Source organism: Homo sapiens, chromosome 11 (assembly GCF_000001405.40).
Source record: "Homo sapiens chromosome 11, GRCh38.p14 Primary Assembly".
In the NCBI taxonomy this organism is placed as follows: Eukaryota; Metazoa; Chordata; class Mammalia; order Primates; family Hominidae; genus Homo; species Homo sapiens.
This window is the reverse complement of record NC_000011.10, coordinates 65,064,839-65,089,275: the sequence shown is the minus strand read 5'-3', so window position 1 is coordinate 65,089,275 and position 24,437 is coordinate 65,064,839. Positions and strand designations below refer to the sequence as shown.

Genomic DNA, 24,437 nt, shown 5'->3' with positions numbered 1-24,437 from the left:
CCATTGCCATGGGCCCCCACTGATCTCACAATTCAAAGCACCCCTACCACCCGTGAGGCACTCCTGTGTTGGCTGGAATCAGCCTGTGTTCTAGAATCTTGTCCCCTCCACTGTCCTCCTGGTTCTAGAATCCCACTGCTATTCCATACCAGGCACTTTAGAACCAGAGACTCTGCTGCTTTTCCTGGGCAGGGCCTGCTTGCTCCAGCTCTCAAGTCTGACTTGCATCTACACTGCGGGCAAGATGTGGCTGCAAGACCGCATCGCCACGTTCTTCTTCCCAAAAGGCATGATGCTCACCACGGCTGCGCTGATGCTCTTCTTCTTACACCTGGGCATCTTCATCAGAGACGTGCACAACTTCTGCATCACCTACCACTATGACCACATGAGCTTTCACTACACGGTCGTCCTGATGGTAGGCTCAGGGCAGGGACGCAAGGGCTGGCTGTGGGAGACCCGAGGGGCTGATGGAAACCCCACTGTTGTGCGAGGGGGCCACTCTCCCACTGGATGGGCCTACAGTTCTCCCAGGTGATCAGCATCTGCTGGGCTGCCATGGGGTCACTCTATGCTGAGATGACAGAAAACAAGTACGTCTGCTTCTCCGCCCTGACCATCCTGAGTGAGTGGCAGGAGTGGGAGGGTGCAAGAGGGAGCGGGGAGCTTTGGAACCCTGAGATGTGGCAAGGAGTAGCCAGGGAAGGGTACTGGGGCTCATGGGGGGCTCTGTCCCCCGCCCAGTGCTCAACGGAGCCATGTTCTTCAACCGCCTGTCCTTGGAGTTTCTGGCCATCGAGTACCGGGAGGAGCACCACTGAGGCCTGGGGAGTCGGAACAGGGCTAAGGAGGGGGAAGCAAAAGGCTGCCTCGGGTGTTTTAATAAAGTTGTTGTTTATTTCCACCTGCCAGCTCCTTCATGGGGCGAGGGGTCGGAGGCTGGAGACCCGGGAGGAAAGCAAGTCAAGACAAATGCTTGACCCACGGGGACTCCAGGCCTGGCCTGCAGCCACTCTGGTGGACTTGGCTTTGGGTCTGGGGTCTTAGTGTCTTAGGCTTGAGGGAGAGGGGCAGTGAAGAGGTGCCCTCAGCCTCCCCATTACCCCGCCTCTCCTCCACAGAACCCACATCCTAGGCTGGCCTAGCCACAAGCAAGGGGGCTCAGGAGGGGCCCACGCGGATGTGAGGGTTCATGAGTGGGTCCAGGTTGGGATCGCTGTCAGCTGCGGCCCGGCCTAGGCGAGACATGAGGGCAAGGAGGGCCAGGAAGCCCAGCAGTCCCAAGAGTAGCAGCAGCCCCGCCCGCTGGAGCAGGGTCAGCGGCCGCTTCCGAGACCCAGCCCGGCTCCTGGGGGGATGAGGGGAAAATCAGGTCAGGCCCCAGTCCCTGGTGGCCCCCGCGGCTGGAGAGAAGCCCTGGTCACCACCCATTCCTGAGCCTCCATCTCCTCGTCTGTGCCTCAGGGATGATCACTCCTGCACCTGCCACCATAGGGCGTTATTGTGCAGCTCAAACCAGCTGAGGCGCACGACTGTATTCTGGAAACCACAGTGTGTCAGACGTCGGGGAGAATTACAAAGATTAGGGGGTGTCAGATCGGGAAGGGGCCTCAAAGAGCCTGAGTTCAAACCTCCTGTGTAGGAGGCATAGAGACAGTCCCAGAGAGAAGCAAAACACAGCTTCTGCTGCACAGCCAAGGCCTCTCTGCACAGCCCCAGCACCAGGTACTGTTACTCCCCAGAACAAGCCCCTTTTGTCATGAAACCATCCCTTCCAGGACCTCTGGCTCCCATTCCCTCTCCACCCCTTCCTGGCATTCCGCCCTGCCTGACCCTGTGTACCTTAGCAGCCGGGCCAGCCAACCCAAGGCCGGCCGACGTCGGTACTTGTCATCGTCACAGTCTCCATGGAGGCCTGGTGTCCGGTCATCATCCCGCGTATCATACACCTTCCTAGGGGCTACAGGGTGGAGCCACTAGCATCAATAGACTCAGGAAAACTGGCCGCTTTGGGGAGGGCTAGGGGGATCACCTGCTCTCCTCAGTCTGACAGAACATCTCAGAATTGTGAGGAGGTAATGGCTGTGCCTGGATTAAGGAAAGGTTCCTCCGGGTGGGTCTCTGGATCCTCAAGCTCCCCCTATACAAACCATTCCACCCTCTTCCTATCCTTCTGCGGCCTGGATAACTCCCAGGCTCACCGTGAGTCAAGGGCTCAGGATTGCCCATGTGGATCACTGTGTGCTGCTCGGGCCGGCCTGGGGAAGCTGGGGGCCGGGGGGCCTGGCTGTAGAAGGCTGGGGCAGCAGAGGCGCTGTCTACCTCCTCTGGTCCAGGGGTACTGCTGGCTGTGGGTGGAAAGAGAGCCGTCAGCAGAAGCAGTGCATAGAGCTCAGGGGTAGAGCATGTGACTGCAGACCAAGGGAGCTGTCAGCAGAGCAGGGAGGCTAAAGCCCAAACAGTCGGTGGAAGCCACCACTTACCATTAAAACTAGACCAGTCAGAGAAGTCAGACGTGTTGAGGGGCTCGGGCTCTGGGCTCACCACCTCATCGATCTGGAGGAAGGAATCTGGGTCACCAGGCTGCCTAGTATTGTCCCCACCCACCCATCTGACTCAGGTGGGGCCCAGGGCAGATAGATGGTCAGACAGACGAGGGACTCTCACCAGAGGGAGGCCCAGTCCTGCCCGGGCCCAGTTGACTGTGGCCAGCTTCTCTCTCAGTGCGGAGGCCACGGGGCCAGCCAGGTTGGTTGGGGGGAAGATGGGGCCATTGCAGCTGGGGCACTGATAGCCGGCAGGTGCCGTGTTTCGGGGTAGCTGGGCAGCACGTTCATTGAGGCAGGCCCAGTGAAAGAGATCTTAGGGCCCATGAGACAGGGGAGAAGAGACATGAGGAAGAAGACACTTAGGGCTCCTAGCCTAGCAATAGTCCCCAGACCATTGCAGGACATATGGACACATGTGTGTGTGCCAGAGCCTTCTCCTCCCCGTCCTGTTCCCTAAAATGTCAGTCTTCTTGGCTACCACCATCTAAGTCCAGGCAGGTGCTACCAAGCTGTCCAGCTCACAGGGGTAAGTTTGGGTAGGAAGAAAACGCCACCTCCCCTTTCAGTCCTTTCAATGAGTCCTCTCTGGGCCTGCACTCATCATATTCTTTGGGCTAATGGCTAATAATGAACAGTTTCAGAAAAGGTTCCTCGATACACACACAGGCACACATATACATGTACACATCCCTGGGCACAAATGTACATGTCCTTATAAGCACATAATCAAACACAAGTGGCATTCCCTATATCTACACTATGGGTACAGGAGCCCTCACACATACACATCTATACACTCACAGGTTTGCTAACAGGCACCCTCAACCATGCATTCTCTTGCACTCCCACAACACACCTGTGTTCATATGTTCACATACATACATTTACCCATTCATTCACCCCAAGTACAGATCAACACACTAACACTCATTTAAACACACAATGTACATTAAGTGCCTGCAAGTACACACATGCACTCACAAGGAGAAACACATATGGAGCTGACTCTTGCATGAGCTCCTTCAAAAACTGGAGCTAAGGCTCTTACCCCAGATTCAGGTCAAAGTCATGACACATATGTCTGCTGACTTCTTTTAGCTAACTTTAATGTGGGAAACTCACTTCCTCTCTGTTTAGCCTTGGAATCAGTGGTGGATCCTGAATATCTGAAAGCAACATGCCGGTCTGGCTAGCTAATAGTCACGGCCACCAGCATACCCGTAAGCTTGACTGGTTCTCGCTGAAACCTCCAGATTGGCAGGGCTTAATTTTTAGGAAAGAGGAACTAGGAGCTTTAATTTTTAGGAAAGACAGTGAGGCCTAGAAAGGAAGAATAACTTGCCTGAACTTACACAGCAGGTAAGGAACTTTAACAGGACTAGAATCTGGGCTCTGAGACTCGGGGGACTCACTGTCCTGCTGCTTGAGGAGGGCCTGGAAACCAGTCACCAAGCTGGCCCCTGAGGCTGGCCTGATCCCCCCGAGGTGCCAAGGCCTCACCATAGCAGACAAGGCGGGTCGTCTCTCGGCTGGCCAGGGGTATGTTGCACAGGCGGCAATTGGGGTTGTAGTCGCTATCTTGGAGCCATTGCAGGTAGGACTGGACGATGCACTGGAGTGGGAGAGAGATGTCACAACTGGTGCTGGGGCTGCTCGGCCTATCACCCCAAGGTCCGACTGTCTCTTTTTCTCTAGCCACAGAGGAGACTCATCCTTTCGTTTGTTTAATCAATAAATATTTATTGAGCACATACTGTGCACCAGACTCTCTCTTGGGAACGGGGGATATATCAGTGAACAAAATAAATCAAGTCCTTGCCCTTGTGGGGCTTACATTCTAGCGCGGGGCCCCTCATGGATTTGGAGGAAGCCAATACCGCCTTGCCCACCCAGTGCCCTGCTCAGTCGCTCCCCTGAAGGCCCCACCTTGGCGTGATTGGCTACCAGGCAGTGCTCGCAGACGTTGACCCGATGTTCGAAGCAGAACAGGTTGGTCACCTTTCTCTTGGGGCACTTACAAAGCCCCATGATCGATCCTGGGAAAGGGGCATGAGTTGGTAGGAAGTCAGGTTCTGGTGGCCACCACTACGCTCTCACCAGCCCAGTTTCCACTCTTAACTCCCCCAGACACCTCTCATATTCGCCCCGATCTCAGATTCCTGCCCACTGTCCCTCCTTATGCGGAGAAACACCCCCTGCATAAATCCCGCCTCCGGCGACCCCTCAATCCTTCTGGATCCCGCCCCCGGCCAGGCCCCTCCATCAGAGGCTCCCCGATACTACCGGCCCCGCCCCCAAGACCTCTCCTGAGCCCCACCCCCTCCAAGTCCCGCCCCTTCTCTACAGACCCCAGTCTCTGTGTTTACTGATCGGCCGCTGCACTGGTTCCGAAGGGCGGTAGCGATGGCTCGAGGCGCGGAAGGGCAGGGACCACTCTCCCCAGGGCTCCTGCGCCTCTCCCTTCAGCCCCGGCCGCCCCGATTATCCCTCCGCTGCCACGTCTCTTCCGGGTGCGGCGCGCGCTGATGACGCCATCGCGCCCCTGGGCCACGCCTCCGCTGCCGCTAGAGGTGAAGACGGGTGGAAAAGACTCGGGGTTCCGAGGGCCGCAGACCGCTAGCCCTACGTCACTTCCGCTTCCTTTCCCGCAGGGCGGGTAATTCGAACGTTTTTTGCAGCGAGTGGCCTTCCCGGTTGGCGCGCGCCCGGGGCGGCGGCGCTGGAGGAGCTCGAGACGGAGCCTAAGTTATGTCTGGGAGGCGAACGCGGTCCGGAGGAGCCGCTCAGCGCTCCGGTGAGCGGAGGGCGCGCGGGAGACGTGAGGTCGAGCCGTTTGGGGGACGCAGTCCGGTGAAAGATGGCCTCTTCCCTCCCGCTGCCGCCGCCGGAGGAGGCGCCCTTAAAAGGGCTTGTTTGGGAATCTTCTCGCTGTCTCTAGAACCTGTTCTCTGGACTCTAAGGTCTAGAGTCCTCCTCTACCACTTAACTTTTTTCTCTTTCCAGGGCCAAGGGCCCCATCTCCTACTAAGCCTCTGCGGAGGTCCCAGCGGAAATCAGGCTCTGAACTCCCGAGCATCCTCCCTGAAATCTGGCCGAAGGTGAGCCCCAGATTTCTCACTTCCTCCCCTTGTGGCCCCTCACCTAATGTTGAGCTCACGTTCATCCCTCTTCTCCAGACACCCAGTGCGGCTGCAGTCAGAAAGCCCATCGTCTTAAAGAGGATCGTGGCCCATGCTGTAGAGGTAAAGGCTAAGGAGAGTGTTGTGGGTGGTTAGGCGGGCAAAACTGGGGACCAGCTATGTGATCAATTGGTATTGTCCCCCGCAGGTCCCAGCTGTCCAATCACCTCGCAGGAGCCCTAGGGTGAGTTCACTTTCATCTACTTAATTAAGTAGAATCTGGGTCACTCTAGAGCTGGACAGCACACATTGGCTCCTCACATCTGCCCAGGGAGCTGTTTTGCAGTACTGCAAAAACAGTTTGCCTGTGGGCACCTGCATGCATTGCCAGTCTTGATTACTCCCTGAAGACTTAATACACTTAACTTTTTATGCCTTGTGTATTTCTACCATTTTCCTGGAACTTCCTTTAAAAGCTGAGCTATGTCTTAACTCCACGTACTGCCTTTCTAATCCATTATGCCTTCAGCTTTCATGTATGGGTGTTCTGAGATAAGTCATGTGTATGACATTTTTACAGTTTTAGCAGAAGTTATTATCAAAGGATGTTTCATTAATAGACAATCTGAAGACATACTGACTGAGAAATGTGAACTCCTTTGAAGAGCTGATAGGGCTTAGAGTCAACTGGGGAGAAAGACCAATGACAAGTGATAGCAACGTTGTGTACTGGGACTGCAATAAGGAATACTAGATGCTATGATGGTAGCTAACCCAGACCATGTGGCTCAGGGAATGTTTCGTGGAAGAAGAAACATTTGAACTGAGTCTTTAAAGACAAGTAGAGGCCGGGTGCAGTGGCTCACGCTTGTGATCCTAGCATTTTGGGAGGCTGAGGCGGGCAGATCACTTGTGGTCAAGAGTTTAAGACCAGCCTGGCCAACGTGGTGAAACCCTGTGTCTACTAAAAATACAAAATTAGCCAGGCATGGTGGCACGTGCCTATAGTCCCAGCTACTCAGGAGGCTGAGGCAGGAGAATCGCTTAAACCCAGGAGGCGGAGGTTGCAGTGGGCCGAGATCACGCCCCTGCACTCCAGCCTGGGTGACAAAGCGAGACTCCATCTCAAAAAAAAAAAAAAAAAAAAAGACAAGTAGGTTTGTTCCAGGTCAAAGAAGCCATGTTTGCAGAGATTGGGAATTTAAAGAAAAATCAAGGTTCGGGGAATAGCAATTTGTTTAGTGTCTGCAGCAGACCTCAGCAGGGGAGGAAGCACCCTAAGGCAGAGCAGATCCTGATGAGGCACAAAAGCCACACTCATGGCTTGGGCATCATTCTTGGGTCTGTGGGCAGCCTTTGGAGAGTTCTGGGTAAGGTAGTGACCGAGTCAAGTTTGAGTGTTTTAAGAAAGACCCCTCTGGGGGCTGTGGGGAGAATGGTTTTGAGAAGGGCTACCCTGGGGCTCCAAGACCAGTGGAATGACGTGAAGTCCAGGAATTCTGAAGCATGAAGCCAAGGGCGTGAGCTAAAGCCAGGATGATATACAGTACTGGGTTCAGAGGGAATTGCCCCCCAGTGGCCTTCCCTGACCACCCTTACCCTATTGCTGTCACATTTCTCTATGTAATTCTCTTAGGCCTTACCAGTTCTAAAGATAGGGTCTTGTTCTGCCACCCAGGCTGGAGTGCAGTGGCGAGATTTCGGCTCACTGCAGATCTTCCCTCCTCAGCCTCTCAAGTAGCTGGGACTATAGTCACATGCCACCATGCCTGGCTAATTTTTTGATGTTTTCTCTAATTTTTTTTATAGAGATGAGGGTTCACTATGTTGCCCAGGCCGGTCTTGAACTCCTGGGCTCAAGTGATCCTCCCACCTTGGCCTCCTAAAGTGTTGGGATTACAGGCATGAGCCACTGTGCCTGGTCCTTATCAGTTCTTATAGTGTATTTTCTTGCATGTTTGATGTCTTTCTCTCCCCCCTCTAAGAACACAGGCACCTTGAGGGTAGGGACTTCTGCCTTTCCTAGTAGCCACTCATTCTTGTTGATTGACTGAGATTCATGGTACATCGAGCAGGATAAAGTTGCCAGGACCTGGGTGACTGCTTGGCTATAGAGAATGAGGAAGTCGTAGTCAGCAGTGACCACCAATTTGTTCAGCTTCCCTGTGTTTTTTTTTTTTGAGATGGAGTCTCGCACTGTCACCCAGGCTGGAGTGCAGTGGCGCAATCTCGGCTCACTGCAACCTCCGCCTCCCAGGTTCAACCGATTCTCCTGCCTCAGCCTCCCAAGTAGCTGGGCTTACAGGCACCTGCTACCACACCTGGCTAATTTTTTTTGTATTTTCAGTAGAGATGGGGTTTCACTATGTTGGCCAGGCTGGTCTCAAACTCCTGACCTCAGGTGATCCACCCACCTCAGCCTCCCAAAGTGCTGGGATTATAGGTGTGAACCACCATATCTGGCCACCCATTATCTCTTGAACTTCATCTTCAGTTTCTTCCTCTTGCCTTCACTTCAGCCACACTGGCCTCCTTGTTGTTTGACCCTGACTAGTACACTGTGGCCTCAGGGTTGTTGCACCTTCTGTTCCCACTGCCTAGAACTTGGCCATGAGTCACTCCCACACCTCCTTCAAGTTGTAGCTTGAATGTCACCTCAGTGAGGGATGTATTGACCTTTATCTTTTTGCAATTCTAACCTGCCCCAAGCACTCTCTCCTGTTCTGTTTTCCTGTAGTGCTTGATACTGCTAACATAATACTGAATTTTCTTACCTGTTTTTCTCTTAGAATGGGGCAGGGGTTTTCTCTGTTTTATTCCCTGCTGTGTTCCCAGTGCCTGGCACAGGACAGGTGACTGATAAATACTTATGGACTGAGTGGACATTTAGGACAATCCTCATCAGCTGTGTGGCAGATGGACCACAGCAGGCAAGGGTGGAAACAGGGAGAGAAATCAGAAGGTCGCTGGGACCAGCCTGGGCAACAAAGGGAGACCTCCCCTACTCTACAAAGAAACTAAAAAAAAATCAGCCAGACAGAGTGTCACATGCCTGTAGTCCCGGCTACTCAGAGGCTGAGGTAGGAGGATTGCGTGAGCCCTGGAGGCTGAGGCTTCAGTGAGCCATGATCGTGCCACTGCACTCCAGCCTGGGCAACAGAGTTGAGACCGTTTATCTGGAAACAAAACAAAAAACGTTGCTGAGCTGGTCTAGAAGACACCTAATGAGGGCTTGAGTTGGTCAGAGGAGAGGCTGGATGCTGGGCACATTTTGGAAACAAGCGACAGCACCAGCAGATGGGGGCAAGTCCATTTGTGTCACAAAAGCAGACTCCTTGGAAGCAATGGTGGGTTGTTTTCTTCTCTCCATGTCTCTTTCAGGGTCTGATTTGTCCCTTCCTTAAAAAAAGTGTGTGTTGGCCGGGCATGGTGGCTCACGCCTGTAATCCCAGCACTTTGGGAGGCCGAGGCGGGCGGATCACGAGGTCAGGAAATCGAGACCCTCCTGGCTAACACGGTGAAACCCCGTCTCTACTAAAAATACAAAAAATTAGCCGGGCGAGGTGGCGGGCGCCTGTAGTCCCAGCTACTCGGAAGGCTGAGGCAGGAGAATGGCGTGAACCCGGGAGGCGGAGCTTGCAGTGAGCCGAGATCATGCCACTGCACTCCAGCCTGGGCGAGAGAGCAAGACTCCGTCTCAAAAAAAAAAAAAAAAAGTGTGTGTCCTGTGGGTCTTTCCACCCTGAATCTTCTCGGGCTTTTCTGGAAGTAAGCAGTCCAGCTAAGTATTGAGGGCATCCCCTCTTCTGTCCTGGTGCAGATTTCCTTTTTCTTGGAGAAAGAAAACGAGCCCCCTGGCAGGGAGCTTACTAAGGAGGACCTTTTCAAGACACACAGCGTCCCTGCCACCCCCACCAGCACTCCTGTGCCGAACCCTGAGGCCGAGTCCAGCTCCAAGGAAGGAGAGCTGGACGCCAGAGACTTGGAAATGTCTAAGAAAGTCAGGCGTTCCTACAGCCGGCTGGAGACCCTGGGCTCTGCCTCTACCTCCACCCCAGGCCGCCGGTCCTGCTTTGGCTTCGAGGGGCTGCTGGGGGCAGAAGACTTGTCCGGAGTCTCGCCAGTGGTGTGCTCCAAACTCACCGAGGTCCCCAGGGTTTGTGCAAAGCCCTGGGCCCCAGACATGACTCTCCCTGGAATCTCCCCACCACCCGAGAAACAGAAACGTAAGAAGAAGAAAATGCCAGAGATCTTGGTGAGTGAGAGGCAGGGGTTTTTCTCTGCCGTGTGCTCTGGGAGACGTGCAGGGCTGGGGCTCTGGCTCTTTTGGGGGATAGGCAGCACCTGCAGGGTGTGGGTGAGATGCTCCAGCCACCATGTTCCCTTCTCACTCACCTGCTCCTCATTTCTCTTCCCTCAGAAAACGGAGCTGGATGAGTGGGCTGCGGCCATGAATGCCGAGTTTGAAGCTGCTGAGCAGTTTGATCTCCTGGTTGAATGAGATGCAGTGGGGGGTGCACCTGGCCAGACTCTCCCTCCTGTCCTGTACATAGCCACCTCCCTGTGGAGAGGACACTTAGGGTCCCCTCCCCTGGTCTTGTTACCTGTGTGTGTGCTGGTGCTGCGCATGAGGACTGTCTGCCTTTGAGGGCTTGGGCAGCAGCGGCAGCCATCTTGGTTTTAGGAAATGGGGCCGCCTGGCCCAGCCACTCACTGGTGTCCTGTCTCTTGTCGTCCTGTCCTTCCTATCTCCCCAAAGTACCATAGCCAGTTTCCAGATGGGCCACAGACTGGGGAGGAGAATCAGTGGCCCAGCCAGAAGTTAAAGGGCTGAGGGTTGAGGTGAGAGGCACCTCTGCTCTTGTTGGGAGGGGTGGCTGCTTGGAAATAGGCCCAGGGGCTCTGCCAGCCTCGGCCTCTCCCTCCTGAGTTGCCTTCTGTTGGTGGCTTTCTTCTTGAACCCACCTGTGTAAAGAGGTTTTCAGTTCCGTGGGTTTCCCCTTTGATTCTGTAAATAGTCCCAGAGAGAATTCGTGGGCTGAGGGCAATTCTGTCTTGGAGGAAGAAGCTGGACATTCAGCCTGTGGAGTCTGAGTTTTGAAGGATGTAGGGAGCCTTAGTTGGGTCTCAGACCATAAGTGTGTACTACACAGAAGCTGTGTTTTCTAGTTCTGGTCTGCTGTTGAGATGTTTGGTAAATGCCAGGTTGATAGGGCGCTGGCTGCTTGGAGCAAAGGGTGCATTTCAGGGTGTGGCCACCAGGTGCTGTGAGTTTCTGTGGCTCATGGCCTCTGGGCTGGTCCCTTGCACAGGGCCCACGCTGGAGTCTTACCACTCTGCTGCAGGGGTGGAAGGTGGCCCCTCTTGTCACCCATACCCATTTCTTACAAAATAAGTTACACCGAGTCTACTTGGCCCTAGAAGAGAAAGTTGAAGAGTCCCAGACCTACTAGCATTTTGCAACTATGCTTGTAAAGTCCTCGGAAAGTTTCCTCGCGTACCAGACAGCGGCGGGGGCTGATAGCAATTTTAGTTTTTGGCCTCCCTATCCTCTCACATGAGAACACTGCCTGGATGCATCTCATGATCTCTGGAGAATTTCCCCATCTTTCTCTTCTTTCCATCGTGTGGATTCAATAGTGTGGATTTGAAGGCTGCCCTGCCCCCGACTCTCCTGCCGCACCCCTGGCCATTGTACCTTTTGATGTTTAGAAGTTCGTGGAAGTAGACGCTGAGGTGTGCAGAGGAGCTGGTGGATAACAGAGAATGCCAGGGAAGATGAGTGCTGGGTCAGGGTACTTGGATGAAACGGTGCAGGCCAGGCGGGCCCTAATAAAACCCTCTGCCAGGTCTGGGAGTCCCAGGCCATCTGCTCAACGCTCTGTGGTTTGTCAGACCTGCAAGCAAGCCCCCTGCTGGGGAAGCCTAGGTGTCCTTGAGCTGAACCGCACTGAAGAACTCTTGTCCTCACTGGCTGATGCAGCAGAACTCTTGGGAAATGTCTTAGTCCTGCAGAATCAGGAGTCACCAGATGATGCAGAGTTGAGATCATCATTGCAAAGTTCTCTGTTCCTGAGGAACTAAATTTAAGGAAAAAATGGGATTTTGTTTTAGAGTTGGAAAAAAAGCCTGATTAAAGAGTTTCTGCCTGTTCATGGACTGTGTTTCTTTTATTGAGTCAAAGGCAGAGCCGAAGGTAAGGCCAGGCCTCCAGTGGGCTGCATCACTGGGGTTGTCCCTTTGTCCAGGCGCTCCCAGCCCCGCTTCCCCGCATTCGCCCCATGGTAGATCACTGTGCCCCACACACTTTTTTTTTTCTTTGAGACAGAGTCTAGCTCTGTCTCCCAGGCTGGAGTCCAGTGGCGTGATCTCAGTTGACTGCAACCTCTGCCTCCCAGGTTCAAGCGATTCTCCTGCCTCAGCCTCCCAAGTAGCTGGGGTTACAGGTGCCCACCACCACGCCTGGCTAATTTTTATATTTTTATTAGAGATGAGGTTTCACCATGTTGGCCAGGCTGGTCTTGAACTCTGACCTCAAGTGATCTGCCCTCCTCGGCCTCCCAAAGTGTTGGGATTACAGGCGTGAGCCACTGCGCCTGGCCTGTCCTGCCCCGTGTCTTGTTTATTTCTGTCCAGTCCCCAGTCTGCTCCTCTTCTAGGAGGAAGAAAGTCGGGTCTGGGGTGAGAGTGCTAAGAGCTCCCCCAGTGCCCACGGGAGATGCCTGGGAAGCAAACACCCTCCCGAGTCCAGCCCTCGTTCCCCATTCCCTTTCAGGCTCCTTTGAAGGAGCCCGAGTTGCTCACTCCATGGTCCAGACTGGACACTGTGTAGCAGCAGGTGCTGTGGGACCCTGGGGAGCTGATCAAAGATGCTGATGCCTGGAAATTCTCCCACTTGGCCTTAGGTAAGGCTAGGACCCTACAGGCAGGTGGCACAGACCAGCCTCCCATCCCATCCTCCACACTTGTACTTGCCTCCTAGTCATCCAAACAAATCAAAGCCATTAAGTTCTCCACAGACTTAATCCGCTTTGACCTCCTTCCCCCACCCAGAGGAGATGGGTCCCCTCTTCAAGGCTAGCCTTTCCACTTTGGTTTTTGATCCAATTATCTTGTCTCTGAAACCTTCCTCTTCTTTTTCTTCCAAGTCCTAAATGGCTTTTATTTGCTTTGTTGTTAAAAAATGACAACCAGGCTGGGCACAGTGGCTGACACCTGTAATCCCAGCACTTTGGGAAGCTGAGGCAGGAGGATCACTTGAGCTCAGGAGTTCAAGACCAGCCTGGGCAACATAGGGAGATCCTGACTACAAAAAATGTAAAAAAAATAAATGGGCGTGGTGGCACATATCTGCAGTCCAGCTACTCAGGAGGCTGAGGTGGGAGGATCACCTGAGCCTGGGAGGTCGGGGCTACAGTGAGCCATGGTGACGCCATTGCACTCCAGTCTGGGCAACAGAGTAAAGACCCTGTTTCAAAAGACAAAAAAGACAACCAAAAGTCGACCAGCATCTGTCGTTAGCTACCACCATTTTAAGCTTGAAGGAACGTTCCAAGTTGCTCTTTACTTTGAATTTATTCCCAATGCCCTCGTCACTCTCTTTAACAGCTCAGACAAAGGTAACCAGTGATGTCCTAATATCCAACATACTAAGCTCGGGCCTCTGCCAGGACACCCTCTTTGGGGCTGTGGCACTGCCAGCTCCTTTTTCTTGGCTTTTCCTGAAATGTCTGGATACCAGGCCTCAGTCCTGGACCCTCTTTCCCACCTGCCTGCTCTTGCCGGGTAGCCTCGCTCTCTGGACTGCCTCCTTGCTCAAGACTTGTCCATCTTTATCTCCAACCTAAAACTGTCCTGAGCTACAAATCAGAATCTAGAACTGCCTTTCAGGAAGTCATCTGAAGCTCTGCTCATCCAGCAGCTTGCCTACTCCTGTGTTCTCTGTGCCATTAGCAGAGCCACCAGCTGACACAGTCACACGGGCCAGGAACCCAGGACCAGCTCCTTCTTCCTTCACCCCATGTGGCCAGCCCCATCCCCCTCAACATCCCCCCCACCCCACAGCCACTAGACAATTGCACTAGCCTCCTGTGGGTCATTCCCTTGGGCTGCTGTATCTCCACACTGTCTGCACTGCAGCTAGAACACATTTCCTAAAACACACAATATGATCCTGTTTCTCCCCTCCTTAATTTTTTATTTTTATTTTTGAGATGGAGTTTCACTTTTGTTGCCCAGGCTAGAGTGCAGTGGTGCAATCTCGGCTGACTGCAACCTCCACCTCCTGGGTTCAAGTGATTCTCCTGCCTCAGCCTCCCAAGTAGCTAGGATTACAGGTGCCCACTGCCACACCCGGCTAATTTTTCTATTTTTAGTAGAGACGGGGTTTCGTTATGTTGGCCAAGCTGGTCTCTAATTTCTGACCTCAGGTGGTCCGCCCAACTCAGCCTCCCAAAGTGCTGGGGTTATAGGCGTGAATCACCGTGGCTGGCACGCCGGGCCTATTTCTCCCCTCCTTAAAACCCTTTTTTTTTTTTTTTTTTTTGAGACGGAGTTTCACTCTTGTCACCCAGGCTGGAGTGCAATGGCACGATCTCGGCTCACCACAACCTCCACCTCCCGAGTTCAAGCGATTCTCCTGCCTCAGCCTCCTGAGTAGCTGGAATTACAGGCATGTGCCACCACGCCCAGCTAATTTTGTATTTTTAGTAAGAGACGGGGTTTCTCCATGTTGGTCAGACTGGTCTTGAACTCCCGACCTCAGGTGATCCACCCTCCTTGGCCTCCTAAAGTGCTGGGATTAGAGGTGTGAGCCACCATGCCCAGCCAAAACCCCTGCCAATTTTTTTTTTTTTTTTTTTTTTTTTTTGAGACAAGGTCTGGCTCCGTCGCCCAGGCTGGACTGCAGTATTGTGATCTGGGCTCACTGCAACCTCCACTTCCCAGACTCAAGCCATCCTTCCACCTCAGCTGCCCAAGTAGCTGAGACTACAGGCACGTGTCACCATGCCTGGCCTTTAAAACCTTTTAATACAATTTCACACCTGAGTGTAATAAGACCAGAGAAAGTTGAAAGCAGGCATTGGAATAGATTTGTACACCAAGTTCCTAGCAGCATTATTCAACAATAACCAAAAAGCTGGAAACAACACAAATGTCTACCAGCAGCTGAATGGATAAAGTGTGACCTATCAATACAGTGGAATATTATTCAGCCTTAAAAAGGAGGAAATTGGGCCAGGCGCGGTGGCTCACACTTGTAATCCCAGCATTTTGGGAGGCCAAGGTTGGTGGGTCACTTGAGGTCAGGAGTTCAAGACCAGCCTGGCCAACATGGTGAAACCCCATCTCTACTAACAATAGAAAAATTAGGTGGGCGTGGTGGCGGGTGCCTGTAATCCCAGCTACTTGGGTGGCTGAGGCAGGAGAATGGCTTGAACCCAGGAGGTGGAAGTTGCAGTGAGCCGATATTGTGCCACTGCACTCCAGCCGAAACAGAAACCTCTGCTGACTTCCCATGCTCCGTGCAGCAGTGGAATGAATGGTCGCTGGTGCCTGGCTGCCCAGTAGCGTCTCAGCCTCCAGGCATGTGCTGTCTGCAGGACCCCAGCCACTCAGTGGGAGTGAATATCCCAGATGCTTGCTCTCCCTGATCCCGGCAACCAGGACCTAAACTGATCAGATTCTCCACCTTGAGTGATGGGTGTGAGGAGGGATGAAGGCACCGCCTGTCCAGCAGTGTCTGGTGTGGGGAATGCGTGTTTGTCCATCTGCAGGCCCTCCCCTGTCCTAGTTCTGGCAGTCGGCGCCCTACAGTGCCTGCCCTTTGAAGTCTCTTCTTCCCGTGAGTTCTGTGACTCCCCAGCATCCTCCCAATAAACTCCTTTTTGCTCAAATCAGCCAACATTGTTTCCTGTTTGCACCCCAGAACCCTGGCTGGTCTAGGGGGCTCCTGACACCTTAGTGGGGCTCATGAGGACTCCAGGCCGAGGCTGGTGTCCAGGCTTCAGCCCACAGACCCACCGCAGGCTGCGAGCTGCTTGGAGGTCCCTGCCTCTGAACCTTTGCTCTCTGCCTCTCGTGTCTTTCCCCACTCCTGCGTCACCTGGGGAGCCCCGCGTCATTAAGTCTGGCTCACGCGTCACCCCTGCTCAGCCTTTCCTCCCCACCTGCCCCACCCTGGTGAAAGCAAAGAGCACAGGTTCTGCAATCCAACTGGGTTTGAATCCTGGCTCTGCCAGCTTCTAGCTGTGTGATCCCAGGCAAATGATAATAATTAGACTCTGATGTGCCTCAGTTTCCTTAACAGTAAAATGAGGACAATAATAATACCTATGCCACAGTGTTTAAAAATGAGATAGTCGGCCGGGCGCGGTGGCTCACACCTGTAATCCCAGCACTTTGGGAGGCTGAGGTGGTTGGATTACTTGAGGTCAGGAGTTCAAGACCAGCCTGGCCAAGATGGTGAAACCTCGTCTCTACTAAAAATACAAAAATTAGCCGGGCATGGTGGCGGGCACCTGTAATCCCAGCTACTCGGGAGGCTGAGGCAGGAGAATCACTTGAACCCTGGCGGGTGGAGGTTGCAGTGAGCCAAGATCATGCCACTTCACTCCAGCCTGGGTGAAAGAGAGAAACTCCATCTCAAAAAAAAAAAAAAAAAAAAAAAGAATGAAATAATACAAGTAAAGCACTTGGTGCATGGTAAGTGCTCAATGAACAATTTTCAAGTAGAACTGACCATTCCCTCCCTTTTTAAGTCTCAGAAGTCCACACAGACCTCCATCATAGCACCTTCAAGCTCCATTCTGTCTGCTCTGCACACACGTTTACACAGTAGCTGTGTAAACTCCAGCTCAGGCTGGAGGCAAGGTTGTATTTGTCTCTGTCCCCCCAGTGTCCAGGCACATCATGGAGTAAGTGGATGTGGTGGTTTCCCACCAGCCTGGGCAGGTGTGCCCCTCCAGTGGGAGCTGGGGACAGGGGCTTCAGAGAGCCTCTGAGTGCCTGGTAGGAGGGGCACAGGTGGAGTCAGGAGTGATGGCACCTGGCACCCTGCCTCAGTCATGAGCCTCCCACAGCACAAATTCTAGTCCCACCAGTGTGCATGTGAGGTCTGAAGCCAGCCCCATGGCTCACACCTGTCCCCATTTCTTGGAGAGTGGACTTCACCCTCCCTCTCCACAGGGCAGTTCCCCACACAGCCTATGGACCCCTCCCTCCTCGCCTGGGTCCTCAGCCCGGTAGCTCACCACCCTTTCAGATGAGGCTTTGGCTCAGGCCTGGTGGTTCTCCCAACACATGGGCCTAGACCAGGCTGCCTTCCCCTCTCCACAGTGTGGCTGACAGGTTGGCAGGCTCCCTGACAGCCACCTGCTTGGGTATCAGTCCACCCACATCTGAGACTCTTCTTGAGCCATGGTTTTCTCTTCTGAAAAGTGAGGCCAATTCCATCTCTCTAACGGAGTTGGTCAGGAGGTTGATGTCATATGCAAAGCAGCCAGCAGAGTTCCTCATCACTGATGGCTAGTAGCATTTTACCCAGCCTGTGATTAACCCCTCAAAGGAGGAGATTCATTTTTGTACCTTCTCAACATTCAGGGAAGGGCCTTCAACAAAGTTAGGGCTCAGTCAATATTTGTGGAGTTGAATACCCATTTCACAGGCTAGGAGGCTGAGCCCGATTTCCTGCAGCTGCCCCACCTATGAGCAGCAGAGCAGGACTGAAATCCAGGTCCTGAGCTATCTTCTGTCCAAGTCTGAATTAAGCATCTGTCTGTGCTTGGCTGGTGGGACCCTGAGAGGACCCCAGTCCTGTCTGTCTGTCTATCTGCTCATCCTCCTCACGTACCAACTGGTAACCGTGGAGCTTTTCATGCCTCCCAGTGTCCTCTGATGGGCACCAACATGTGGCCATAGTGTTAGAGTTGCTAGATTTAGCAAAAAATACAAGATGCCCACTTAAGCCTGAATCTTAGATAAACAACACAATTTTTAAAGAGTAAGAGTGCCCTTGCCTGCAATCCCAGCACTTTGGGAGGCCGAGGCAGGCGGATCACCAGGTTAGGGGTTCGAGACCAGCCTGACCAACATGGTGAAACCCCGTCTCTACTAAAAATACAAAAATTAGCTACTCAGGAGGCTGAGGCAGGAGAATTGCCTGAACATGGAAGGCAGAGGTTGCAGTGATCCGAGATCGCACCACTACACTCCAGCCTGGGCAACAAAGCGAGACTGTCCCCAGGAAAAAAAAAAAAAAGGAATAACTGTTTCCCAAATCAGAGAAATAATAGATAGTTTTCTAGTACAAGTATGTTCCATGCCACATATGGGGTATGCATATGTGGGTTGAAAATCCAAAATCCCGGCCGAGCACGGTGGCTCACACCTATAATCTCAGCACTTTGGGAGGCCAAGGCGGGCAGATCATGAGGTCAGGAGATCGAGACCATCCTGGCTAACACGGTGAAACCCCGTCTCTACTAAAAAATACAAAAAATTAGCCGGGTGTGGTGGCGGGCACCTGTAGTCCCAGCTACTCGGGAGGCTGAGGCAGGAGAATGGCGTGAACCTGGGAGGCAGAGCTTGCAGTGAGCCAAGATTGCACCACTGCACTCCAGCCTGGGCAACAGAGCGAGACTCTGTCTCAAAAAAAAAAAAAAAGAAAAGAAAATCCAAAATCCCAAACTGTGAGCACTGCCCTGACATTCACTGTAGCATTTTGGATTCTGGATTTTCAGATAATGCTAATATTCCAAAATCCTAAGAAATCTGAAATCCAAAACACTTCTAGATAGGCATTTTGGAGAAGAAATTCTCAACCTGCCTGGGTTCAGTGGCTTATGCCTGAAATCCCAGCACTTTGGGAGAGGAGGAGGCAGGAGAATCACTTGAGCCCAGGAGTTCGAGACCAGTCTGGGCAACATGGTGAAACCCTGTCTCTACAAAAAATACACAAATTAGCTGGGTGTGGTGCCAGGCCTGCAGTTGTAGCTACTCAGGAGGCTGAAGTGGAAGAATCATCTGAGCCTGGGAAGTCGAGGCTGCAGTGAGCCATGAGGGTGCCACTGCACTCCAGCCTGGGCGACAAAGTGAGACCCTGTCTCAAAAGTAAATAAAGTCTCAAAAAAAAATTCATCGTTTATCTGAGATCCCAATTTAACCTGGCATTCTGTGTTTTATTTGGCAACCCTACGTGGGTACACTGGTACCCAGCCCATACCACCGTTAAGACCCACTTTTGTGGTGTGACAGGGTCTCATGCACACCTTCTCCAGGATTAACAGAGTTTAGACACTTGTCACATGCAGCAGTTGGTGGCTTGCCTCTCTTCCTCACTTCCAGGGCCCTTGGCATCCTGGCCCCAGTGTCTACGCCTTCCACTCACCCTCTGAACTATGGCCAAACAGCCCACATAACAGACACACAAAGATCCCTATGCCTCCTCGTCCCCTGTGGGCTACAGCCCAGGCCCTGTCTTGGGCCCTTCGCAGGACCCCACGGCTCTTGCTTACACCATTCCCTCTTCTGGTCTCCCCTGCGTCCTTGTTTGAGACCCGGCGGCACATCCTGTGTGCAGTCTCTCTGGAGCTCCGAAGCAGAATGCATGGCTCCCTCCTCTTGCAGCCAGGGCTCGCTGTACAAACCTCTGTGTGGCTCATCCCCCCGCACTGTGGTCAGCTGCAAACCTGAGGCCTCCCTCATCTTCCGGAAACTTCTGCGCAGAACCAGGTTGTGTCCATCTATATGTTCCCAAGGCCTACGCCACAGGCAATGTTTACAGGGACCAGTAAGCGCATGAGTGAATTGTATCCTACCATGTGAAGAAGTCTTTGTTTCCTTACCACTTCTTATATTTGGGCCTTTTAGGCCCCTTCCAGTTTTTCTTCATGGTGTAAATCAGCTACTGTGGTCGTCCATGTGAATTACTTTTATTTGGAGTTGTTTCTTTAAGCCGTTTCCAAAGTGAGGTTCTCAGAGGCATGACTCTCCATCGTTCTGTGGATCTTGTTATACGCAGCCAGGTTCTCCTGGTGACAGAGCTACCTATTCTCCAGCAGCCATACCACGCTGGAGCTCTGGGACTTTCCAGGGTTACGGGGCCCTCTGCAGAGCTGTCGGTTTATGTCACGTGGTCAGGAATTGTGTAATTTTAGGCTGCCTAGAAAGGTACAATATAACACAGCCACAAGCCCAGGCCACAAGCCCCCTGCCACAAGTCCATGGGGATCTAGAGGCGCAGGTGGACTCAGTGTGAAGAAGGACCATGTCTGTGGTTACTTGGCCAGTAGATGCACAAGATTCTGAAAAATACCGGGGTGAAAAATAGCCACAATTCTATTAACTTCAGCTTTTTTTTTTTTTTTTTTTTTGAGAGTCTCGCTCTGAAGCCCAGGCTGGAGTGCAGTGATGCAAACACACCTGAGTGTAGCCTCAACCTTCCAGGCTCAAGTGATTCTCCCACCTCGGCCTCCCAAGTGGCTGAGACTACAGGCACACGCCACGATGCCCAGCCAATTTTTTAATTTTTTGCAGAGATGGGGTCTTGGTGTGTTGCCCAGGTTGGTCTCTAACTCCTGGGCTCAAGCGATCCTCCCGCCTTGGCCTCCAAAAGTGCTGGGATTACAGGCGTGAGCCACTGCACTCAGCCTCAAAATATTTTTAGCATGTAGTTTGGCAGGACTGCCAGATAAAATACAGGACACCTAGTTAAATTTGAATTTCAAATGAACAGTGAATTGTTTTTTAGTGTAAGTATATCCCAAACATTGTGTGAGACAGATACTGAAAAAGTATCCATTTTCAGCTGAAATTCAGATTTCACTGGGCCTATATTGTATTTACTAAATCTGGCAACTTTCACTTTGAGGGGGTCTGGCTTGCTGGACAGAGCTGGTGATAGACGCTCGCCAGGCTGGAAGCCGCCCCCTAAAAACCAGACCAGGCTAGAAATGGCATAGCGGGGATGGTAGATGTGAGTGACTAGCAGGCTTCTGTCTCTCTCAGTCTCTTAGGGGCAGACAAAGAGCCCACTCCAAGCTGGCCAACAAGCCAGTGGTGCAGCCTGTTGAGGAGCAAGAACCCAAGGGCCCTCAGGCTTCCGAGGAGCGGAACTTGGAGGTGATGGGAAACCCCAGGGCCTCCTAAGGCAGTGGGCAGGGGAGGCAGGAGAGCTGGAGAAATTCTTCCTGTATCTGAATGGAGGCCTGAACCCCCGTCGTCACACCCAGCTTCCAGCTGTCAGGGCGTCCAGGCCCAGCTCCTGGGTTCAGGGCTGAGGAATGGGTGCAGGGGAGTTCAGCGCTGGAGGGCCTCCTGGACAGGTCCCATTCATACCTCCTACCAGGCTTTCCCTACAGGGTGGGGGATACAGACGATGGGGCCCCTGAAAGACAGGGAGATGGCAAGGATGGGGGGTGTGGGAGGACCCAGGCTCTTGGGTGAGCAGCCGTGACCCTCTCCAGTCACCTTGGCGCTTTCTCTGCAAAGCCACCTTCCTCAGAACAACTGGAACCCACCGTCACGTTCCTGTTTACACTCCTGAACACCTCTGAGCCCACTGAGCCAAAAGACCCTGAATCGTAAGGCTGCATGAGAGAGAGAGAGAGAGAGAGAGTGCCCATGCAGGCACATGCAGGCACGCACAAAACTGGGGGAGGTGGATGGTGTTTCTCCCCACCCCACACCCAGAAACATTCAAACCTGGGCTAGGACTCAGTCCTGGCCCGTGCAGAGAGGAGGCCCAGAGAGGCCTGCTGAAGCCGGGGCCTTTGGCTGGGCACCCCCACACCACCCACCCACTTCCCTCATCCCCTAGACCCTCTGGCCTGACCTTCACTACCCACTTGCTCCAGGGACTCGGAGATCCAGGAGTACCAGTTCTTAGATCAGGAGGACTGGGGCCCCCAGCGGACCTCAAAGGAGATCAGGCAGTTGCAGAATGACTGCATGAGGTGATCTGGGCGGGCAGATGGGAGCGGGTAGGGTGACAGGGCTTCCCCCGACCAAGGCCAGGCCTGGCTTTCAGGTCAGGGCCCACGTGGCTGGTGAACGGGCATTCAGGAACCCCCACCTTTAATTGTCCAAGAACTTGAGGAGCGTTCAGTCTGGGGGAGGGGCTTGTTCTCTGGATGTCGGGCTCTGGAGCTGGGGTCCACACAATCCCATGGCCGCTCGCCCCTCTCAGGTAATGCTGGGGTCAGAGCCCCATCTGTCAGCAAAGGTCCTGAGGTGGGGGCAGGGCATGACGGAGGCTTCCAGGCCATAGACCTGAGTGATCAGCTCTCCCATTCATACACAGCTGACCTGGAGCGCCTAGGCAGGGCTGGTTCCAGCATTGGCCCTGTCACTGGCCTGGAGCCACAGAGAATCCTGTTGCAACCCTGCCTACAGCCCAAAGGAGCGGCTAGCCCTATACCACCCACCCCTTCCAAGGGGAGCCTCAGAGGGTTTCTAGCCCACCCACAGAAGCAGCCTGCCCTGCTCTTGCAAAGGAAGACAAAAAGCATAATTAGTCTCTCTCTCGGTCCCCTGCTACCAATCACTCAGGGAGAACAATTCCCATCCCACCTGTGGTTTTGCCGGGACAGGAAGACTGGGCTCTTACTGAAACACTGGTCCCAGGTGGCTATAGGACCAGGTGGCTGAAGCAGGAGGTGGGAGGGGTGGGGAGTGCTGCCTGGAACAAAAGCCTGGCTGAGGTGGGAGGGGTCTGTTTTTCAACCCTAGGCTTCGGGAGTCACTGAACACCACCCAAGTGCACAACCTGGCCCTGGGGGAGAAGCTGCAGAACCTGGTAAGACCCTGAGCCAGGACCCCATTTCTTTGTCTTGCCTCCTCCCTGCCTCCCAGCCCAGCTCTCCTAGAGGGGCTTCGGGTTGTCCTGCATGGCTGGCTACCCACCTCGAGCCCTGCAACCCTTTGTCCAGCCCACCTTATTGTATAAGAGCCTGAAGGAGGGAGCCCAGGCCATCCAGGAGGAGGCCCAGGCCATCCAGGATGAAGTGAAGGCCCTGCAGGAGGAAAGCCAGGCCCTGCCGGAGGTGGCTCTGCTCAGGTGTGCGGGCAGCCATGGCAGCGGGGAGGGAAGAGGCGGCTGCCCCATGCTGCTCACTCGAGCTGTCTCTGCCTGCAGTGACCCAAACCCCCGGAAGGCAGGTCTCCTCTTCAAGCTGCCTGACCTGCCCCACGACCACAGAGACCAGGGTCAGGCCTGGCCAGGCCCCAGGCCAGAGGTCGGACACCTCCTCGGGAGGCCGCTCCTTCAGCCAGCTCCTCCCTAGATCCCAGAAATAAACTTGGAAGCTAAGCTTCAGCTTCACCAAGTGTCTGTGGGCCCTGGGCTCAGGTGGGGAGCAGGAGGTCACCACGTCCACACTGAGCTCAGCCCCTCAGCCACCCTCTGACATCACCCCCACTCCCTCAGCTCACCCATTCTGCATCTACCCCTCCCCGACATGGCCCTGCCCTCCCCCGACCCCTCACAGAAGGTTCCAGGCCTGGTTGTTGTCAGCCTGGAGATGAGAGCTCAAGGGCGATGTTCCCAAGATAAGCACTGGGGTGAGGCCAGAAAGGGGCCGCAGTCCCTCCCCGGAGGATCTGGGTACCTGCTCTAACTCCAAAGTGCAGAAGGATACTGGGGTGTAGGCGGGGGAGGGATAGGGGAAGAGCCACTAACCATCTGGTGACCTTGGAAAAGTCCCTTCCCCTTTGTAAGTCATGGGGTTGGGGGGCAGAGAGAGGTGGTGGCAACTCCCCAAGGGCCCGCATCCTATACCCCTCAGGCCTGGAGATACATATCGATTTTGAGTTTCACCTCCAACCCAGGAGCCCTCTGGCCCAGGGCCTCCTGGGAGCCCCCAACCCCCCTCCACCAATGGGGTTGCAAAAAAGAATACAAAAAACTGACACGTATATAGTCAAGGGGGAGAAAGCAAGGAATCCTGATAGAAGATTGCTAAATTACATACAAAATTGGTTAATATTCTAAAGGGCATTTATTTTTAAAATCCCATAACCCGGGCTGGTCACAGTGGCTCACACCTGTAATCCCAGCACTTTGGGAGCCCGAGGTGGGCAGATCACCTGAGGTCAGGAGTTTGAGACCAGTGTGGCCAACATGGGAAAACCTGGTCTCTACTAAAAATACAAAAAGTAGCCAGGTGTGGTGGCACGTGCCTGTAATCCCAGCTACTTGGGAGGCTGAGGCACGAGAATCACTTGAATCTGGGAGGCTGAGGTTTCAGCGCACCAAGGTGGCACCACTGTACTCCAGCCTGGACGACAGAGCAAGACACTATCTCAAAAAAAAATTTTTTTTTTAATTTAAAATAAAATAAAAAGTCCCATAACTCTAAGGCTTGTATTATTCACTGGGCAGAAATCATTTTGCATCTTAATCAGTTTTCTGTAAAGTAACCTCTAACTTTACAGCATCTAGGTCTAATGGATGGTAAAAGATCCACCATGCAGAATTCCTTCGTTAATCCTCGTGTGACACGGAACGGGCTGGGGATGATCATTTTGCCTTATGTTCACTGTAGGGAGACAACAGCCAAGAGGATGGAAATTCAGGTTTGTGGCTTCTCCCCAGGCCTGGTTTGACTTACACCAGACTCCTAGGGATCAGGCCTGGGCAAAGTAACTGATGAAGTGCTTGATTAGTGACTATTTGATTCTGCCCCAGCTTCAGGCTGAATTGAGCTGAGCTAACATCTCTTTTCTTCATATTTTTACATTTTATTTTTATAAATAGAGACAGGGTCTTGCT

General features: G+C 53.3%; 3 protein-coding genes across 13 annotated transcripts in view, besides 5 other annotated features; 2 read left to right on the top strand and 1 right to left on the bottom strand.

Annotated features, from left to right (window-relative positions):
- Positions 1 to 165: 165 nt before the first annotated feature.
- Positions 166 to 900, top strand: CATSPERH (catsper channel auxiliary subunit eta). 2 transcript variants are annotated; one of them, NM_001242631.3, is made up of 3 exons: positions 166 to 418; positions 526 to 593; positions 745 to 900. In NM_001242631.3, the coding sequence occupies exons 1-3, from the start codon at positions 245 to 247 to the stop codon at positions 845 to 847; spliced, it is 345 nt and encodes a 114-aa protein (NP_001229560.1). In that variant the 5' UTR covers positions 166 to 244; the 3' UTR covers positions 848 to 900. The 2 variants fall into 2 exon arrangements, with proteins under 2 accessions (NP_001229560.1, NP_001269377.1); NM_001282448.2 differs by having other exon boundaries at positions 526 to 625.
- On the bottom strand, positions 878 to 5,054 carry ZFPL1 (zinc finger protein like 1). The gene is made up of 8 exons (NM_006782.4): positions 4,898 to 5,054; positions 4,476 to 4,585; positions 4,050 to 4,161; positions 2,668 to 2,861; positions 2,484 to 2,556; positions 2,202 to 2,348; positions 1,843 to 1,960; positions 878 to 1,348 (listed from the first exon to the last, which is right to left on the bottom strand). Exons 2-8 carry the CDS (start codon positions 4,575 to 4,577, stop codon positions 1,162 to 1,164), a joined length of 933 nt encoding a protein of 310 aa, NP_006773.2. The 5' UTR covers positions 4,578 to 4,585; positions 4,898 to 5,054; the 3' UTR covers positions 878 to 1,161.
- Positions 3,751 to 4,335: an enhancer, noted in NCBI's record as "H3K27ac-H3K4me1 hESC enhancer chr11:64852413-64852997 (GRCh37/hg19 assembly coordinates)". NCBI's record gives its function as "activates a minimal SCP1, AML or CMV promoter by ChIP-STARR-seq in primed H9 embryonic stem cells {active_cell/tissue: H9 hESC(primed)}" and the evidence as "EXISTENCE:reporter gene assay evidence [ECO:0000049][PMID:30033119]".
- Positions 4,925 to 5,194: an enhancer, noted in NCBI's record as "active region_4940". NCBI's record gives its function as "activates an Ori minimal core promoter by ATAC-STARR-seq in GM12878 lymphoblastoid cells {active_cell/tissue: GM12878}" and the evidence as "EXISTENCE:reporter gene assay evidence [ECO:0000049][PMID:35858748]".
- Positions 5,236 to 24,437, top strand: part of CDCA5 (cell division cycle associated 5) — a 22,948-nt gene continuing 3,746 nt past the window's right edge. For 2 of the 10 annotated variants that reach the window (XR_001747757.3, XM_011544743.4), the window contains exons 1-11: positions 5,236 to 5,343; positions 5,553 to 5,647; positions 5,726 to 5,791; positions 5,877 to 5,912; positions 9,489 to 9,923; positions 20,675 to 20,788; positions 21,158 to 21,249; positions 21,523 to 21,621; positions 22,397 to 22,463; positions 22,597 to 22,724; positions 24,211 to 24,241. Coding sequence is in view for 8 of the 10 variants with exons in the window: in XM_011544743.4 (XP_011543045.1) it covers positions 5,298 to 5,343; positions 5,553 to 5,647; positions 5,726 to 5,791; positions 5,877 to 5,912; positions 9,489 to 9,923; positions 20,675 to 20,788; positions 21,158 to 21,249; positions 21,523 to 21,621; positions 22,397 to 22,463; positions 22,597 to 22,724; positions 24,211 to 24,241 (1,209 nt within the window). In the remaining 2 variants the exon portion in view is untranslated. Of the gene's footprint in view, positions 5,344 to 5,552; positions 5,648 to 5,725; positions 5,792 to 5,876; positions 5,913 to 9,488; positions 9,924 to 10,088; positions 11,824 to 20,674; positions 20,789 to 21,132; positions 21,250 to 21,522; positions 21,622 to 22,396; positions 22,464 to 22,596; positions 22,977 to 24,100; positions 24,242 to 24,437 lie in introns of those variants that run through there. The other 8 variants (XM_017017158.3, XM_005273734.5, XR_001747758.3 and 5 more) reach the window with 8 other exon arrangements.
- Positions 5,275 to 5,504: an enhancer, noted in NCBI's record as "active region_4939". NCBI's record gives its function as "activates an Ori minimal core promoter by ATAC-STARR-seq in GM12878 lymphoblastoid cells {active_cell/tissue: GM12878}" and the evidence as "EXISTENCE:reporter gene assay evidence [ECO:0000049][PMID:35858748]".
- Positions 10,144 to 10,645: an enhancer, noted in NCBI's record as "H3K4me1 hESC enhancer chr11:64846103-64846604 (GRCh37/hg19 assembly coordinates)". NCBI's record gives its function as "activates a minimal SCP1, AML or CMV promoter by ChIP-STARR-seq in naive H9 embryonic stem cells {active_cell/tissue: H9 hESC(naive)}" and the evidence as "EXISTENCE:reporter gene assay evidence [ECO:0000049][PMID:30033119]".
- Positions 22,225 to 22,519: a silencer, noted in NCBI's record as "tiled region #288; HepG2 Repressive non-DNase unmatched - State 1:Tss, and K562 Repressive non-DNase unmatched - State 7:EnhWF". NCBI's record gives its function as "represses a minimal TATA promoter and a strong SV40 promoter by Sharpr-MPRA in HepG2 and K562 cells {active_cell/tissue: HepG2 | K562}" and the evidence as "EXISTENCE:reporter gene assay evidence [ECO:0000049][PMID:27701403]".

Bases quoted from the DNA above. Each gene is read 5' to 3' on its own strand.
- ZFPL1 (NM_006782.4), bottom strand. From the start codon at position 4,577: ATGGGGCTTTGTAAGTGCCCCAAGAGAAAGGTGACCAACCTGTTCTGC. The intron at 1,961-2,201 runs GTGAGCCTGGGA...TCCACCCTGTAG, and splicing joins TCCTGAGCCCTTGACTCACG to CCCCTAGGAAGGTGTATGAT. The intron at 1,349-1,842 runs GTACACAGGGTC...TCATCCCCCCAG, and splicing joins TGGCTGGCCCGGCTGCTAAG to GAGCCGGGCTGGGTCTCGGA.
- CATSPERH (NM_001282448.2), top strand. From the start codon at position 245: ATGTGGCTGCAAGACCGCATCGCCACGTTCTTCTTCCCAAAAGGCATG. The intron at 419-525 runs GTAGGCTCAGGG...ATGGGCCTACAG, and splicing joins ACTACACGGTCGTCCTGATG to TTCTCCCAGGTGATCAGCAT. The intron at 626-744 runs GTGAGTGGCAGG...TCCCCCGCCCAG, and splicing joins CTCCGCCCTGACCATCCTGA to TGCTCAACGGAGCCATGTTC.